Raw genomic sequence first — 17,734 nt, 5'->3', positions numbered from 1 at the left:
AAGATATTTATAGGGAAATGATAAAGCACTGTGTGAAAAATGTATTGCTGACATGCTCTTATATGACTTTATCCAGTAGAAAATGGGAGTACTTGAAAATGTACATCAAAGTCAAATGCCACCTTTAGACCACTCCAATGTGCCAGATAATTTCCAAAAGTTATCTTCTTAATGCTCTAGTTAATCCTATTGGAAATAATATTAGTTTTCACATTTCCTAATTGAAAACTGTAACTGGGCAATATTAAAATAAATGGTTCCAATGAGCAGTAACAGAGTTCTGAAATTAAGTTTGTAGTACTTTTTTTTTTTAAACCAAGTTTTTATGTTGAGACTATAAAGACATTGAAGGCAGTAAAACTGTCATTTATTTCCCATTATATTCTATATATTTCATATAGTGTATGGAACTTAATGTTTAATAAAAGTATTTTTAATTAAATAGGTGAGATGAATAATGTATATGATTTAAAATCTAACAGTAGCATACAAGATGATTGTGAATAAAGAGGCAGGAAGAATGACATCCTTATGGTAGTATTTTGTATGTGAAAATGTTAAGAATGCACTAAGGTCATTTCAGCAAAGGTGAAAGGAAATGACATAGATTATAAGATGGGTGACCATAAAGGATCTTTGTGTGTTTTATATCTCCCTGAGTAAAATAACAAAATTGAGCTACTAGTTGTTAGATATATTGAACACATTGCAATTATTTTGTTGTTCTTTATGTTGGCATTATTCTACTTCTTTTATCCATCCCAACTTTAGTCTGAACTTCTCAAATAAAGACTCTCTTTTATTGGCAAGCTCAGAGTACGGAATATTTTTGTAAGCAGTGTGGATACAAATCTGTCAAACACTTTACTGTGGCTACAAAATCAGGTGCTCATAAAATTGAGATACAGCTCTAGTTTAAACCATGTTAGTATTTCCCTGCCTAACACAAAGCCCAGACCTACAAGGAGCACATTTATTTATTTTACTTTACATTTGCAATTCCCAGTCATGGTGTGTTGTTTGCAAAATACCTACAGTTGTCTAAGTGAAGTAATATTTTTGGCTCTTAAGGGGTATTTCTCAGAGGCAGCCAACTGATGTAAAACTTGAGCATCTAATATGAGTTAAGGGAAACCATTTTCCTAATATCTGAGGGAGTCTGCATAGAAATTCATCATTACTGTTATCACTAGGCAGTGTGTTAAGCACCAGAAAAGCTGGATATTATTCACTCTGAAAGCTTTGAGGGCACACTATACATCACCTTCGTGCTTTTTAATGGACTTTAATACAGAAATCAGAGGTGTGGAGAACAAGAATTGTAATGATCCCCATATATTTGGAATTTTTACCATGAATATCACTTGTAAAATAGACAATTTTTTCTGACATCAGGAAAGAAATATAAGTAGATCCACTTCATACTGTACTATTTAGTATGTTGTCAAAAATATTTGAATTTTTTAAAGGTGAAAGATTAGCTATGCTGTCTTATTGTATAGATGAAATTATAATTTGAATATCATAATTTCCCCTCTGGTGTCCACTACTTATGGCAGAAAACATTGTTCTTTAAATTGCCCAAATTATAGTCACACTGCAGACTAATATGTTTTGGAATAGGTTAATTTAGAAAAGGAAAAATCTGAGTGAGCTAAATAAGCTTTTTAGAAAATTTGTCACAACGCTGTTGATGAAAGGTGTCAAGTTACATCATCAAGAAACATACTATGTAAACTAAAGTTACCTACTCACATGGAAATCACCATATTTTACTACTTCTTTTCTTATTCCAAACGGGTACTGGGGAAGACACTTTGTAGTATTTACTTGAACTCGGCCTCATTCCCTTTTCTTTAGGTCAGTGGTTCTCAAACTTGAATGCATTTAAGAATCACTCAAGGAGCTTGTAACAAGCCCAGTGCCCAGGCCACACCTCATGTGAATTAAATCAGAATCTCTAGAGACAGGACATACAAAATCAGTAGTTTTTAAAGTTTCCTAAATAATTCTAAAATGCTGTCAATATTAAGAACCAATGCTCCAGATTCTGAATTTCTTCTTTCTCATAGTCAGAAATTGGGAGTTGTATGAGAATATTAAATGCTTGATATAGAGCTAAAGGTCTAATTTCCATATTCACATAAAGTGTCACAAGCTCTGTACCTTTTACCCAGATGCTCTCCTTCTCACATTCTTCGTTTGCCTCCTCCAAAGGCAAACATCTTGCTAGGAATTTTTTACTTTTATAGTAACTAAGATAACAAAGAAGCATGGTCCACTTTTCTTTAATAGATAAGGATCTATCTGCTCCTTGAATTTCAACTGCACTTTTCAAGAATTGATTCTATCTAAACAAATGAATGAAATGATTAGCAATTAATACCTGCTTGAGGCTTGAAAATCTAATTCAAAATGTATTTAATTGTAAACATGTAGCAACTGAAATAAATGGCAGATATTCACTATCATTAAGATATCTATATGTCAAACACCAGATTGCTGATAACTCTTCTTTATGTGAATGTTAACTTCTGTGTAAAGATTTTGAATGAAAATGTAAGCCACTATAGAAAAAAAATGTGAAGGGAAAAATATACTACATTCTATTTTTATAAAACTTATTTATATAGAAATAGGTTTTTTAGTGGATTTCATGAGAGAAATAACAATGTCTGTCTTGAATCAAGCATTTGCTAAGTGCCTGGCAGTGTGCTTAGGAGATTCATTTTTATTATTACATTTACTTAAGAGATTCATTTTATTTGTACATTTACGTTTATGACAATAATTATTTCCAGGTGGGGAAACCAATGTTTATAGACACTAAATACCCACATACCTTTAAGCAGATCTAGAATATAAACTCAGTTATATGTAATTCTGAGGTACACCCTTGCAATAATTATGCTATCCTAACAATTAAGGTGTCACTTTATATAAAAAATAGTTTATAAGTACAAATTGAGGGTAATGCAAAAGAAGAAAAATTATGAGATTTATAATAGTCTCCATAATTCCGTACCCTTGTCTTTCATTTGTGCGTAAAGCTATTTATCAAACATGTATTAAGCATTTATTCACAAGCCTGGTGTTAAACCCTAGAAAAATGGCAATGAAATTCAGATTCTTTCCTCAAGGAGCTTGCAGCTGTGAGGGAGATAAAAGCTTAAGAAGAGCAATTGTTTATTTGTGGATTGTTTGGTGTAAAAAGAAGAGAATTACAATCTAGATTTCATAGTTGAAAATGCAGTTGTCCCTTGGTATCAGCAGGGGATTGATTTCAGGACCCATGCAGATACCAAAACCTACAGATGTTCACGTTTCTTGCATAAAATGGTGTAGTATTTGCATATAACTTATGCACCTTCTTGCATACAATTTGAATCATCTCAAGATTACTTATAATAGCTAATAAAATGTAAATGCTATGTAAAACATTGATATACTGTTTTTATTTGTATTATTTTTACTGTTGTCTTGTTATTGTATTTTTTCTCAAATATTTTTGACCTAGTTATTTGAATCTACAAATGCTTTTTACATCCAAGTACAGCCAGCCAACTGTACACACCTTGAATAAGCAGTTATCAAATCCACTGGGGCCTGGTAGAAAAGGAGTATATGGGTACAGACTGAGACTCCATAAAAACTTTCCATATATTGTCAAGTTAGCTAGCTGGAGGGTAAATGTTATTTTCAAACATAGTCGACACACACACATACAATTAACACACACACACATATTTATGGTAAAAAATATTTTGAATGAGAAATTGGCCATTAAGCTCAATATCTACTAAAAAATCTGGTTTCTTTTTTTGTTTAGTTATTTTTAATTGATGTGTAATTGACTTGCAGTAAAAGGTTCTATTTTTAGTGTGTAGTTTTTTAAGCATTGACAAATGTGAAAAATTATTTATACCACCAACGCAGTATTTTTTAAATGTTCATTTTAACTATTAGTCCCCTTCCTTAAGTGTTTCTATTGTTTAGCCACAGTCACAGCTAAAACACACACACACACACACACACACACACACAAAAGGTGTGAGTTCAATATGAGGCAAAATTCAACAGTTGATAAAACTGAAGAAAACTGATCACAAAAGCATCGAACTTTATCATTTATGCACTACTTCTATAGTTTTTGTCAGAAATCAAGTCACCATAAGCAAACAAAGATTCTCCTAAACTACAAAACTCTAATACAGATAATATTAGTGTGAACCAAGTATATGACATGTGCAAGTGGCATGATAAATTAAGAACAAGTGCTAAACAAAAGGATTTGCAAAAGTAGATTTCTGAGCAACTGGAAATATTTTACTTGTTTATTGAAAAAGGCCATGGGCTTGCTTTTTTTTTGTTTTTGTTTTTGAGACGGAGTCTCGCTCTGTCGCCCAGGCTAGAGTGCAGTGGCGTAATCTCAGCTGACCGCAAGCTCCACCTCCCGGGTTCATGCCATTCTCCTGCCTCAGCCTCCCCAGCAGCTGAGACTACAGGCAACTGCCACCACGCCCGGCTAATTTTTTTGTATTTTTAGTAGAGACAGTGTTTCACCATGTTAGCCAGGATGGTCTCAATCTCCTAACCTCGTGATCCAACTGCCTCAGCCTCCCAAAGTTCTGGGATTACAGGTGTGAGCCACCGCGCCCAGCCGGGCTTACATTTTTAACATGTGATACTGGTTAAAGATCATTTCTGCCCTGATCTGTTCGCTATACTTTATATGTGTCAAAACATCCTATGTACCCCATGAAAATGTAAAATTATTACTTGTTAATTTAAAAAGATAATTTCTGTTCCCTGAAGGCTCAACTAAAAGCACGAGAGGTTATTGACCATTGCAATGTAGTCACAGATGTTCATTTCTGGTCAATCCAAGCTTTACTAACATCCTTTTCCAATTGTTGGGAAAAGCTTTGTTCTTTAGAAAAGAATCAATCACTTGTTATTTGAAAGCTTTTTTTTATATGCATTTTCTTTAACTTTATACAATTTTTGCCCCAAATCTTGGTATTGTATATAAATATGCTAATGTTTATGTTAAGGTAACTTCATTGCAGACAAAGTTACATACAAGCTCTTGGAAACTGCACTAATAGTAATGTGATGTGTAGTGTTTAAGGTACACATCACTGGCCTAGGCTTTATGGACCAGGTGTAAAACTGCAGCCATGAAGGGAAATAAGGACTTCAGATATAAAATCCATATTAAAATATGTCAAACCTTCCTGCTTTTTATTAATGTATGCTCTCTCAGTAGCAAAGCATCCACAAAGCTGTTAATTTGATTTCTCACTACTGCTAAGTTTTTTTAATAGAATTGAAGATCATTTTCTGATAGGAGTATCATTCTTTCAGACAAACAATATACTACAGCTTACCCAGCGTCATTATTACTACTTTTAATTTAGCAGGCAGAAGACTCTGCTTTAATTTACCTGCTCATGGGACTCTGCAAGAAGTAAAGAGTTAGACAGGCAGAGGTGGGGGAGAGTGGGGAGGCATGCACAGTTAGTAGACTCTTATCGGGGAACCTGCCCCCAATAGTTAGGTAGGTTCTTTTCTATTTTCCCTAAGTGTTGGCCGGGTTGAGAAATAAAGGAACAGAGTACAAAAGAGAGAAATTTTAAAGCTGGGCATCTGGGGAAGACATCACATGTCAGTAGCTTCCGTGATGCCCCACAAGCCACAAAACCAGCAAGTTTTTATTAGTGATTTTCAAAGGGGAGGGAGTGTATGAATAAGGTGTGGGTCACAGAGATCACGTGCTTCAGAAGGTAAAAGAATATCACAAGGCAAATGGAGGCAGGGCAAGATCACAGGACCACAGGACCGGGGCAAAATTAAAATTGCTAATGAAGTTTCGGGCACCATTGTCATTGATAACATCTTATCAGGAGACAGGGTTTGAGAGCAACCAGTCTAACCAAAATTTGTTAGGTGGGAATTTCCTCATCCTAATAAGCCTGGGAGTGCTATGGGAGACTGGGGCTTATTTCATCCCTACAGCTCAACCATAGAAGACGGCCACACTCAAGGGGGCCATTTTAGAGGCCTACCCTCAGGGGTGCATTCTCTTTCTCAGGGATGTTCCTTGCTGAGAAAAATAATTCAGTGATTTTTCTTTTCCCATTTGCTTTTGAAAGAAGAGAAATATGGCTCTGTTCCACCCGGCTCACCGGCGGTCAGAGTTTAAGGTTATCTCTCTTGTTCCCTGAACATTGCTGTTATCCTGTTCGTTTTTCAAGGTGCCCAGATTTCATATTGTTCAAACACATATGCGCTGCAATTTTTGCAGTTAACGCAATCATCACAGGGTCCTGAAGCGACATACATCCTCCTCAGTTTATGAGATGATAGGATTAAGAGATCAAAGATGGGCATAGGAAATCACAAGGGTATTGACTGGGGAAGTGATAAGTGTCCATGAAATCTTCACAATTTATGTTTAGAGACTGCAGTAAAGACAGGCATAAGAAATTATAAAAGTATTAATTTGGGGAACTAATAAATGTCCATGAAATCTTCACAATCCACGTTCTTCTGCCATGGCTTCAACCGGTCCCTCCGTTCAGGGTCCCTGACTTCCTGCAACAGACTCTGTATCGAGACATTTTGTGTTGAAGCGTAAGGGACAAAACACTTGAGAAAAATATAAATTCTTTTGTTGAGTGGAGTATTCTATATATTTCTGTTAGTTCCTATTGGTCTGTAGTATTGTTCAGGTTCTCTTTTCTCTCATTGATGTTCTGTCTGGTTGTTCTATCCATTATTGCAAATGAAGTATTAAAGTCTCCTACTAGTAGAACTATCTATTTTGCTCAATTTTATTAATGCTGTTTAATGTATTTTGGAGCTCTGATATTTGGTGCCTATATGTTTATGATTATATTTTCTTGATGAATTAGCACTTCAATGAATTAACACTTAATACTGTTCTCTTTGTCTCTTGTAGAAGTTTTTGACTTAAAGTCTATTTTGTGTTATATTACAACATCTACTCCTGCTCTATCTTGGTTACTATTTGTATGAAATACCTCTTTCCTTCTTTCACTTTACAGTTGTGTTCTCACATCTAAGTAAATCTGTTGTAAACAAAATAGAGTTGGATCCTTTATTTTGCCAACCTATGATATTTAATTTGGACACTAAACCCATTTTCATTTAAAGTAACTACTAATATGGAAGTATATGCTTTTGCCATTATGTTCTTTGTTTTCTGTATGTCTTACAGCCATTTCGTCCCTCATTTCCTCCCTCGCCTTCCTTTGTATTGATTCACTGTGGTGAAATATTTTTATTTGCTTCTTATTTCCCTTTGTGTATAATTTATGTATTCTTCTTTGTAGTTACCATGGGGATTGCATGTAACATCCTAAAATTCTGATCATCAATTTTAAATTGATATCAACTCAACTTCAGTTACAGCCAAATCTCTATTTCCTCCCAGCTCTATCTCTTTACCAACACTTTATTTATTGATGTCACAAATTGCCTATTTATAAATTGTGTATCAATCAACATAGATATGTAATCATTTTTGGTGAATTTCCTTTTTGAATCTTGTAAAAAAGCATAAGGTTGAGTTATAAACCAAAATTGCAGTAGGACTTTAATACCTGCCCATGTATTTAACTTTACTGAAGAACTTTATACTTTCACATATCTTGGAGTTACTGTTTTGCCCCTTTCCCTCTTATTTAAACTTGAAAAAAATCACTTTTATATTTCTTGTAGGGAAAGGCTAGTTAGTAATAAACTCCCTCAGCTTTTGTTTATCTTGGAATTTCTTAAATTCCCCCTAATTTTTGAAGGACAGCTTTGTCAGCAATAGAATTCTCAGCTGAATTTTTTTATTCTTTCAATACTTTAAATGCATCATCACATTGCCTCAGGCCTGTGAGTTTCTGCTGAGAAATCTGCTGATAGGCTTATTGAATATCCCTTGTAAGTAACCCATCGTTTTCTCTTGTTTCTTTCAAGATTCTCGTCTTTCAACAGTTTGTGTGATGCAGTGTGATTTTCCTTAGATCTATTTTGAAGTTTATTTTCTTGAATTTGTATATCCATGTCTTATGTCAAATTTGGGAAGTTTTCAGCCATTATTTCTTCAAATGTTCTTTCGTTCCCTTTCTCTCTTCTTTTCCTCAGACTCCAATAATGTAAAAACTGCAAATATATTTGCACTCACCTAATATAAATTTGGTACACTTGATGATATTCTATAAGCCCCTTGGGCTTTATTATTTTCTTAATAAGCTTTCTTTTGTTCTTCAGATTTATAGTTTTAAAATGACCTGTCTTCAAATTTGTTATTTCTTTTGCTTATTTCCGTCATTGAATCTTGCTAGTGATTTCTTTCTACTATTTTTTTCAGCTCTTGAATTTCTATTAGGTTCTTCTTTTTATGATTTCCACGTATTTTTTGATATTACATCTTTGTTGCTGTTTTCCTTTAGTTCTCCGAACATATTTAAGACAGTTATTTAAAATTCTTTTTCTAATGAGTATTATAGTGGTGTTTCTTCTAGGGCTTTTAATGGAGATTTATTTTGTTCCTTTGAATAGGCTGTACTTCCCTCTTTATGCTGTGGTCTTTTGTTGAAAACTGAGCATTTAAAAAAAATAACTACTTCTCCTAGTCTTTGTAGAGTGGCATAGAAGACCTTCAGTAATTAACAGGTCCCTGAGTCTGCAGATCAGCTTGGGGTAAATGCTCAAAATTTTAATGGGTCTTTTGGGCCTGGGTCCTGTCTGGGCCTGTGCATGTGCTTTACTTATGTATCTATGTATTCATTTTTATTTCCCTCACTGCTTTTAAATGTCTTAATTCCCCCAAAAAAATCTCATCCCAGTCTCTTCCAAGGGCCTTAGATACTCTATTGTATCCTTCTACCTGTAATGTTTTACTCCCAGAGAGCTGCAGGTCTGAAGTTTTCCTGTACCTCAGTGACCATCACGGCTTTTTGCAGTTTCCAGCCTGAGATCCAAACAATGCCCTCATTCACTGTCTGAGCCTCCAGGTTAGGTGAGAGGGAAACCAGTCAATAGGGCAACTCACAGACAGGCCAGAACATTTCAATCAAGTTTCACTCTGTTTCTTCCATCCTGACAGAGAATGGATATTAGGCTGTTTCCATTGTATTATATCTTGCATGCTGGGGAATGGTGGAACAAGGATAGGTAGAAATATCATGAAATTTCCTACCATTTTGAATATGGCTTTTTCTTGATTGGGTATTTCCTTGATTGCTGTAGGTATTTGGTTTCCAGAGGTCCTATAAAGTTATTTTAGTCATCTGTAGTTTTTAATTTTATGTGTACATGGGGAAATGAGGACTTGGAGCTTTCTTGACCATCATCTTCCTGACATGAATAATTCATGTCAGGAATAAAATTCTAGGATTCCTTTTTGCTTCATTCTCATTGTAGTGTAATAATTTTCCCTTAAAAATGAAATTGCCTTTACGATCAATACAAAAAAATGCTCTTTTTAAAATGCTCTTTTCATTTAAAAATGAAATTGCCTTTAGGATCAATACAAAAAATGCTCTTTATTAAATTAAGTATCTTTTATTTCAACACAAGACTGATTTTGTATTTTAAATCATATTACTTTAAATTTTGCAACAAATATTATAATTACTTCCTAAGATAAAAAGATGCAGTGTTGGGAAATACATCTCACTTTGTGCATAGATTTGTAATTAAACATTAGGACTTTTATGCCCATGTTATCTATTACTCAAATTCAGTGGCTTAGCATTTCAGCATTTACTTAAACCACTAGTCCCCATGTTGACAATCTAGGCTATAATCAGCTGGTCAGGTTTTGTGATCTAATTTTGCTCACTCCCATATTTTAGCCTCAGTCTTATGTTGCAGGCTCACTTAAAACAGCTAAATGTTTGCTGATTTACATTGGTTTTGGCTAGGGCTACTTTGATAATTTGGCTATGCTACACATGTCTTTCATCTTTCAGTAGATTAGTCTGGGCATGATTTCATGGTGATGACAGAGACACAAGAGAGCAAAACCCAGTACACAATCTAACACACCACTGGAGAATGGAATAGTCACATTGTACAGTCAAGTCACATTGTATAGTCCAGTGTAAAGCAATGGGCCATGTCAACTTGATCCCAGTTCTAATGGACTGTGAGGTTACATTGTAAAGTTGATGGACATGGGAGAATTAAAAAATTTGTACCAAAATTGCAATTAACAACATTCTGAGAAGAAGAGCTCTTCTGTAATCTTCAGCTTTCTCAAAAATGAGGTACTAAACTTTTCAGCTATTGAGGAATACCTACTATATCACCTGAATATATTTTGGTAATCTAATCAGCTTTAATATGCATGATTAGAACTAATAAATTCTATTTCTCATACCCTGGTCTTTCAGAATATAAAGGCAATAATTAGTTTGCACTACTACTAATATAAAAATAATAATAATCGAGAGGCAAAGGATTCAGCACAATATTTTTCCACAGTGCATGTTTTTCACACATAAGTCTCAGCTCAAGTTTTAGCAGGAGAGAATTAATTCTTGCTTCCTATTGACTCATGTAGCCAGTAGACATGAATTCATGGCTTTTCTTCATTATATTTTTTCATTCAGTGATTAATCTCAATCTTCCACTTTGTATGGTTTGTATGGTTTGTGCATTGAGCACCACAAAAATGCAGATGCAGTATTCAACCTTAAAGGCCTTCTCATTGAGACAAGTACATTAGTAAAATCTGAAAAAAAATCATGATATCTCCTGAAGATGTCACATATTAAAGAAAAATGGATTTGAGGCCAGTTATCAGGAAAGCATGGAGAGTGAAAAGAAAATGTATTACAAATGGCTGATTGAGAAGTAACTGTATATTCCATATCTTTTCTCTGCCAAAATTGTATTCTGTATTACAAGAAAAAAACATTATATAACATAATTAAATTTATGCTAAAATGAATCTTGTACTTTATATTTATTACTAGACCTTATATTCTCCTTTGAATAAGATAACAAGCAGGACTGAAACCACAAAACTAATGAAAATGTAAAAAGTGATTGAATCCATATTCATTTAGTTTTATTTTATTAAGTTTGCTCAGTCCAGCACCCAGAGCAATTCAGCAAAATACTTAGGTATGTTGGGAGGCTGAGGCAGGAGACTAACTTGAATCTCAGTGGCAGAGGTTGCAGTAAGCTTGAGATCGTGCCTCTGCACTCCAGCCTGGGTGACAGAGTGAGACTCTGTCTCAATTAAAAAAAAACAAAAACAGGAGGAGGAGCCAAGATGGCCAAATAGGAACAGCTCCAGTCTACAGTTCCCAGCATGAGCGACGCAGAAGATGGGTGATTTCTGCATTTCCATCTGAGGTACCGGGTTCATCTCACTAGGGAGTGCCAGAGAGTGGGTGCAGGTCAGTGGGTGTGCGCACCGTGCGCGAGCCGAAGCAGGGCGAGGCATTGCCTCACTCGGGAAGTGCAAGGGGTCAGGGAGTTCCCTTTCCTAGTCAAAGAAAGGGGTGACAGATGGCACCTGGAAAATCGGGTCACTCCTACCCGAATACTGCGCTTTTCCAACGGGCTTAAAAAACGGCGAACCAGGAGATTATATCCTGCACCTGGCTCGGAGGGTCCTACGCCCATGGAGTCTCGCTGATTGCCAGCACGGCAGTCTGAGATCAAACTGCAAGGCGGCAGTGAGGCTTGGGGAGGGGCGCCCGCCATTGCCCAGGCTTGCTTAGGTAAACAAAGCAGCCTGGAAGCTCCAACTGCGTGGAGCCCACCACAGCTCAAGGAGGCCTGCCTGCCTCTGTAGGTTCCATCTCTGGGGGCAGGGCACAGACAAACAAAAAGACAGCAGTAATCTCTGCAGACTTAAATGTCCCTGTCTGACAACTTTGAAGAGAGCAGTGGTTCTCCCAGCACGCAGCTGGAGATCTGAGAAAGGGCAGACTGCCTCCTCAAGTGGGTCCCTGACCCCTGACCCTTGAGCAGCCTAACTGGGAGGCACGCCCAAGTAGGGGCAGACTGACACCTCACACGGCAGGGTACTCCTCTGAGACAAAACTTCCAGAGGAACCATCAGACAGCAGCATTCGCGGTTCACGAAAAACCACTGTTCTGCAGACACCGTTGCTGATACCCAGGCAAACAGGGTCTGGAGTGGACCTCTAGCAAACTCCAACTGACCTGCAGCTGAGGGTCCTGTCTGTTAGAAGGAAAACTAACAAACAGAAAGGACATCCACACCAAAAACCCATCTGTACATCACCATCATCAAAGACCAAAAGTAGATAAAACCACAAAGCAGAAAAACTGGAAACTCTAAAAAGCAGAGCACCTCTTCTCCTCCAAAGGAACGCAGTTCCTCACCAGCAATGGAACAAAGCTGGACGGAGAATGACTTTGACGAGTTGAGAGAGGAAGGCTTCAGACAATCAAACTACGAGCTACAGCAGGAAATTCAAACCAAAGGCAAAGAAGTTAAAAACTTTGAAAAAAATTTAGACGAATGTATAACTAGAATAATCAATACAGAGAAGTGCTTAAAGGAGCTGATGGAGCTGAAAGCCAAGGCTCGAGAACTACGTGAAGAATGCAGAAGCCTCAGGAGATGATGCGATCAACTGGAAGAAAGGGTATCAGCGATGGAAGACGAAATGAATGAAATGAAGTGAGAAGGGAAGTATAGAGAAAAAAGAATAAAAAGAAATGAAGAAAGCCTCCAAGAAATATGGGACTATGTGAAAAGACCAAATCTACATCTGATTGGTGTACCTGAAAGTGACAGGGAGAATGGAACCAAGTTGGAAAACACTCTGCCGGATATTATCCAGGAGAACTTCCCCAATCTAGCAACGCAGGCCAACATTCAGATTCAGGAAATACAGAGAACACCACAAAGATACTCCTCGAGAAGAGCAACTCCAAGATACATAATTGTCAGATTCACCAAAGTTGAAATGAAGGAAAAAATGTTAAGGGCAGCCAGAGAGAAAGTTCGGGTTACCCACAAAGGGAAGCCCATCAGACTAACAGTGGATCTCTCAGCAGAAACTCTACAAGCCAGAAGAGAGTGGAGGCCAATAGTCAACATTCTTAAAGAAAAGAATTTTCAACCCAGAATTTCATATGCAGCCAAACCAAGCTTCATAAGTGAAGGAGAAATAAAATACTTTACAGATAAGCAAATGCTGAGAGATTTTGTCACCACCAGGCCTGCCCTAAAAGAGCTCCTGAAGGAAGCACTAAACATGGAAAGGCACAACCGGTATCAGCCACTGCAAAATCATGCCAAAATGTAAAGACCATCGAGACTAGGAAGAAACTGCATCAACTAACAAGCAAAATAACCAGCTAACATCATAATGACAGGTTCAAATTCACACACAACAATATTAACTTTAAAGGTAAATGGACTAAATGCTCCATTAAAAGACACATACTGGCAAACTGGATAAAGAGTCAAGACCCATCAGCGTGTTGTATTCAGGAAACCCATCTCACATGCAGAGACACACATAGGCTCAAAATAAAAGGACGGAGGAAGATCTACCAAGCAAATGGAAAACAAAAAACGGCAGGGGTTGCAATCCTAGTCTCGGATAAAACAGACTTTAAACCAACAAAGATCAAAAGAGACAAAGAAGGCCATTACATAATGGTAAAGGGATCAATTCAACAAGAAGAGCTAACTATCCTAAATATATATGCACCTAATACAGGAGCACCCAGATTCATAAAGCAAGTCCTGAGTGACCTACAAAGAGACTTAGACTCCCACACATTAATAATGGGAGACTTAAACACCCCACTGTCAACATTAGACAGATCAACGAGACAGAAAGTCAACAAGGATATCCAGGAATTGAACTCAGCTCTGCACCAAGCAGACCTACCAGACATCTACAGAACTCTCCACCCCAAATCAACAGAATATACATTTCTTTCAGCACCACACCACACCTATTTCAAAATTGACCACACAGTTGGAAGTAAAGCTCTCCTCAGCAAATGTAAAAGAACAGAAATGATAACAAACTATCTCTCAGACCACAGTGCAATCAAACTAGAACTCAGGATTAAGAAACTCACTCAAAACCGCTCAACTACATGGAAACTGAACAACCTGCTCCTGAATGAATACTGGGTACATAACGAAATGAAGGCAGAAATAAAGATGTTCTTTGAAACCAACGAGAACAAAGACACAACATACCAGAATCTCTGGGACACATTCAAAGCTGTGTGTAGAGGGAAATTTATAGCACTAAATGCCCACAAGAGAAAGCAGGAAAGATCCAAAATTGACACCCTAACATCACAATTAAAAGAACTTGAAAAGCAAGAGCAAACATATTCAAAAGCTAGCAGAAGGCAAGAAATAACTAACATCAGAGCAGAACTGAAGGAAATAGAGACACAAAAAACCCTTCAAAAAATTAATGAATCCAGGAGCTGGTTTTCTGAAAGGATCAACAAAACTGATAGACCGCTAACAAGACTAATAAAGAAAAAAAGAGAGAAGAATCAAATAGATGCAATAAAAAATGATAAAGTGGATATCACCACTGATCCCACAGAAATACAAACTACCATCAGAGAATACTACAAACACCTCTACGCAAATAAACTAGAAAATCTAGAAGAAATGGATAAATTCCTCGACACATACACTCTCCCAAGACTAAACCAGGAAGAAGTTGAATCTCTGAATAGACCAATAACAGGATCTGAAATTGTGGCAATAATCAATAGCTTACCAAGCAAAAAGGGTCCAGGACCAGACAGATTCACAGCCGAATTCTACCAGAGGTACAGGGAGGAACTGGTACCATTCCTTCCAAAACTATTCCAATCAATAGAAAAAGAGGGAAACCTCCCTAACTCATTTTATGAGGCCAGCATCATCCTGACACCAAAGCCAGGCAGGGACACAACCAAAAAAGAGAATTTTAGACCAATATCCTTGATGAACATTGATGCAAAAATCCTCAATAAAATACTGGCAAACCGAATCCAGCAGCACATCAAAAAGCTTATCCACCATGATCAAGTGGGCTTCATCCCTGGGATGCAAGGCTGGTTCAATATATGCAAATCAATAAATGTAATCCAGCATATAAACAGAACCAGAGACAAAAACCACATGATTATCTCAATAGATGCAGAAAAGGCCTTTGACAAAATTCAACAATGCTTCATGCTAAAAACTCTCAATAAATTAGGTATTGATGGGACATATTTCAAAATAATAAGAGCTATCTAGGACAAACCCACAGCCAATATCATACTGAATGGGCAAAAACTGGAAGCATTCCCTTTGAAAACTGGCACAAGACAGGGATGCCCTCTCTCACCACTCCTATTCAACATAATGTTGGAAGTCCTGGCCAGGGCAATTAGGCAGGAGAAGGAAATAAAGGGTATTCAATTAGGAAAAGAGGAAGTCAAATTGTCCCTGTTTGCAGACGACATGATTGTATATCTAGAAAACCCCATTGTCTCAGCCCAAAATCTCCTTAAGCTGATAAGCAACTTCAGCAAATTCTCAGGATACAAAATCAATGTACAAAAGTCACAAGCATTCTTATACACCAACAACAGACAAACAGAGAGCCAAATCATGAGTGAACTCCCATTCACAGTTGCTTCAAGAGAATAAAATACCTAGGAATCCACTTTACAAGGGACATGAAGGACCCCTTCAAGGAGAACTACAAACCACTGCTCAATGAAATAAAAGAGGATACAAACAAATGGAAGACCATTCCATGCTCATGGGTAGGAAGAATCAATATCATGAAAATGGCCACACTGCCCAGGGTAATTTACAGATTCAATGCCATCCCCATCAAGCTACCAATGACTTTCTTCACAGAATTGGAAAAAACTACTTTAAAGTTCATATGGAACCAAAAAAGAGCTCGCATCACCAAGTCAATCCTAAGCCAAAAGAACAAAGCTGGAGGCATCACGCTACCTGACTTCAAACTATACTACAAGGCTACAGTAACCAAAACAGCATGGTACTGGTACCAAAACAGAGATATAGATCAATGGAACAGAACAGAGCCCTCAGAAATAACGCCGCATATCTACAACTATCTGATCTTTGACAAACCTGAAAAAAACAAGCAATGGGGAAAGGATTCCCTATTTAATAAATGGTGCTGGGAAAACTGGCTAGCCATATGTAGAAAGCTGAAACTGGATCCCTTCCTTACACCTTATACAAAAATCAATTCAAGATGGATTAAAGACTTAAACGTTAGACCTAAAACCATAAAAACCCTAGAAGAAAACCTAGGCATTACCATTCAGGACATAGGCACGGGCAAGGACTTCATGTCTAAAACACCAAAAGCAATGGCAACAAAAGCCAAAATTGACAAATGGGATCTCATTAAACTAAACAGCTTCTGCACAGCTAAAGAAACTACCATCAGAATGAACAGGCAACCCACAAAATGGGAGAAAATTTTCACAACCTACTCATCTGACAAAGGGCTAATATCCAGAATCTACAATGAACTCAAACAAATTTACAAGAAAAAAACAAACAACCCCATCAAAAAGTGGACGAAGGACATGAACAGACACTTCTCAAAAGAAGACATTTATGCAGCCAAAAAACACATGAAAAAATGCTCACCATCACTGGCCATCAGAGAAATGCAAATCAAAACCACAATGAGATATCATCTCACACCAGTTAGAATGGCAATCATTAAAAAGTCAGGAAACAACATGTGCTGGAGAGGATGTGGAGAAATAGGAACACTTTTACACTGTTGGTGGGACTGTAAACTAGTTGAACCATTGTGGATGTCAGTGTGGCCATTCCTCAGGGATCTAGAACTAGAAATACCATTTGACCCAGCCATCCCATTACTGGGTATATACCCAAAGGACTATAAATCATGCTGCTATAAAGACACATGCACACGTATGTTTATTGCAGCACTATTCACAATAGCAAAGACTTGGAACCAACCCAAATGTCCAACAATGATAGACTGGATTAAGAAAATGTGGCACATATACACCACGGAATACTTGGAATACTATGCAGCCGTAAAAAATGATGAGTTCATGTCCTTTGTAGGGACATGGATGAAATTGGAAATCATCATTCTCAGTAAACTATCACAAGAACAAAAAACCAAACACTGCATATTCTCACTCATAGGTGGGAATTGAACAATGAGAACACATGGACACAGGAAGGGGAACATCACACTCTGGGGACTGTTGTGGGGTGGGGGGATGGGGGAGGGATAGCATTGGGAGATATACCTAATGCTAGATGATGAGTTAGTAGGTGCCACGCACCAGCATGTCACATGTATACATATGTAACTAACCTGCACATTGTGCACATGTACTGTAAAACTTAAAGTATAAAAAAAGAAAAAAAAAACAGAAAAAAACCTAGGTATGAGTAGAATGCCATTCAAAAAACCTTGAATCTGTTGTGTAGGAGATAAGAAAAATTAAGAGTAGAGAAAAAGATTAAGTGACCTAAATTATTAGGGCTATTTACTAAAAGAGCAAGAAATCAAAGATAAGTCATTTAAATTTTGACTATTGCTTATTAAGGAAAGCTAGGAAGTGCCTTCGTGTTTTTGTTTTGATTTGATTTTTAGTTTTGTTGACCATAACTGTCATACATTTAAAATTTATTTTCTGAGTGGTAATGACTATGAAGTTGTGGGGG

General features: G+C 37.0%; 1 long non-coding RNA gene across 1 annotated transcript in view, besides 1 other annotated feature; it reads right to left on the bottom strand.

The window, feature by feature from the left end:
* NRXN1-DT (NRXN1 divergent transcript) overlaps positions 1 to 17,734 on the bottom strand; it is a 1,375,317-nt gene that overhangs the window by 351,078 nt on the left and 1,006,505 nt on the right. The gene's annotated exons all lie outside the window — the stretch shown is intronic.
* Positions 1,526 to 2,078: an enhancer, noted in NCBI's record as "OCT4-NANOG hESC enhancer chr2:52281900-52282452 (GRCh37/hg19 assembly coordinates)". NCBI's record gives its function as "activates a minimal SCP1, AML or CMV promoter by ChIP-STARR-seq in naive H9 embryonic stem cells {active_cell/tissue: H9 hESC(naive)}" and the evidence as "EXISTENCE:reporter gene assay evidence [ECO:0000049][PMID:30033119]".

This window comes from Homo sapiens, chromosome 2, assembly GCF_000001405.40.
Source record: "Homo sapiens chromosome 2, GRCh38.p14 Primary Assembly".
Lineage (NCBI taxonomy): Eukaryota > Metazoa > Chordata > Mammalia > Primates > Hominidae > Homo > Homo sapiens.
This window is presented reverse-complemented; position numbering and strand designations above follow the sequence as displayed.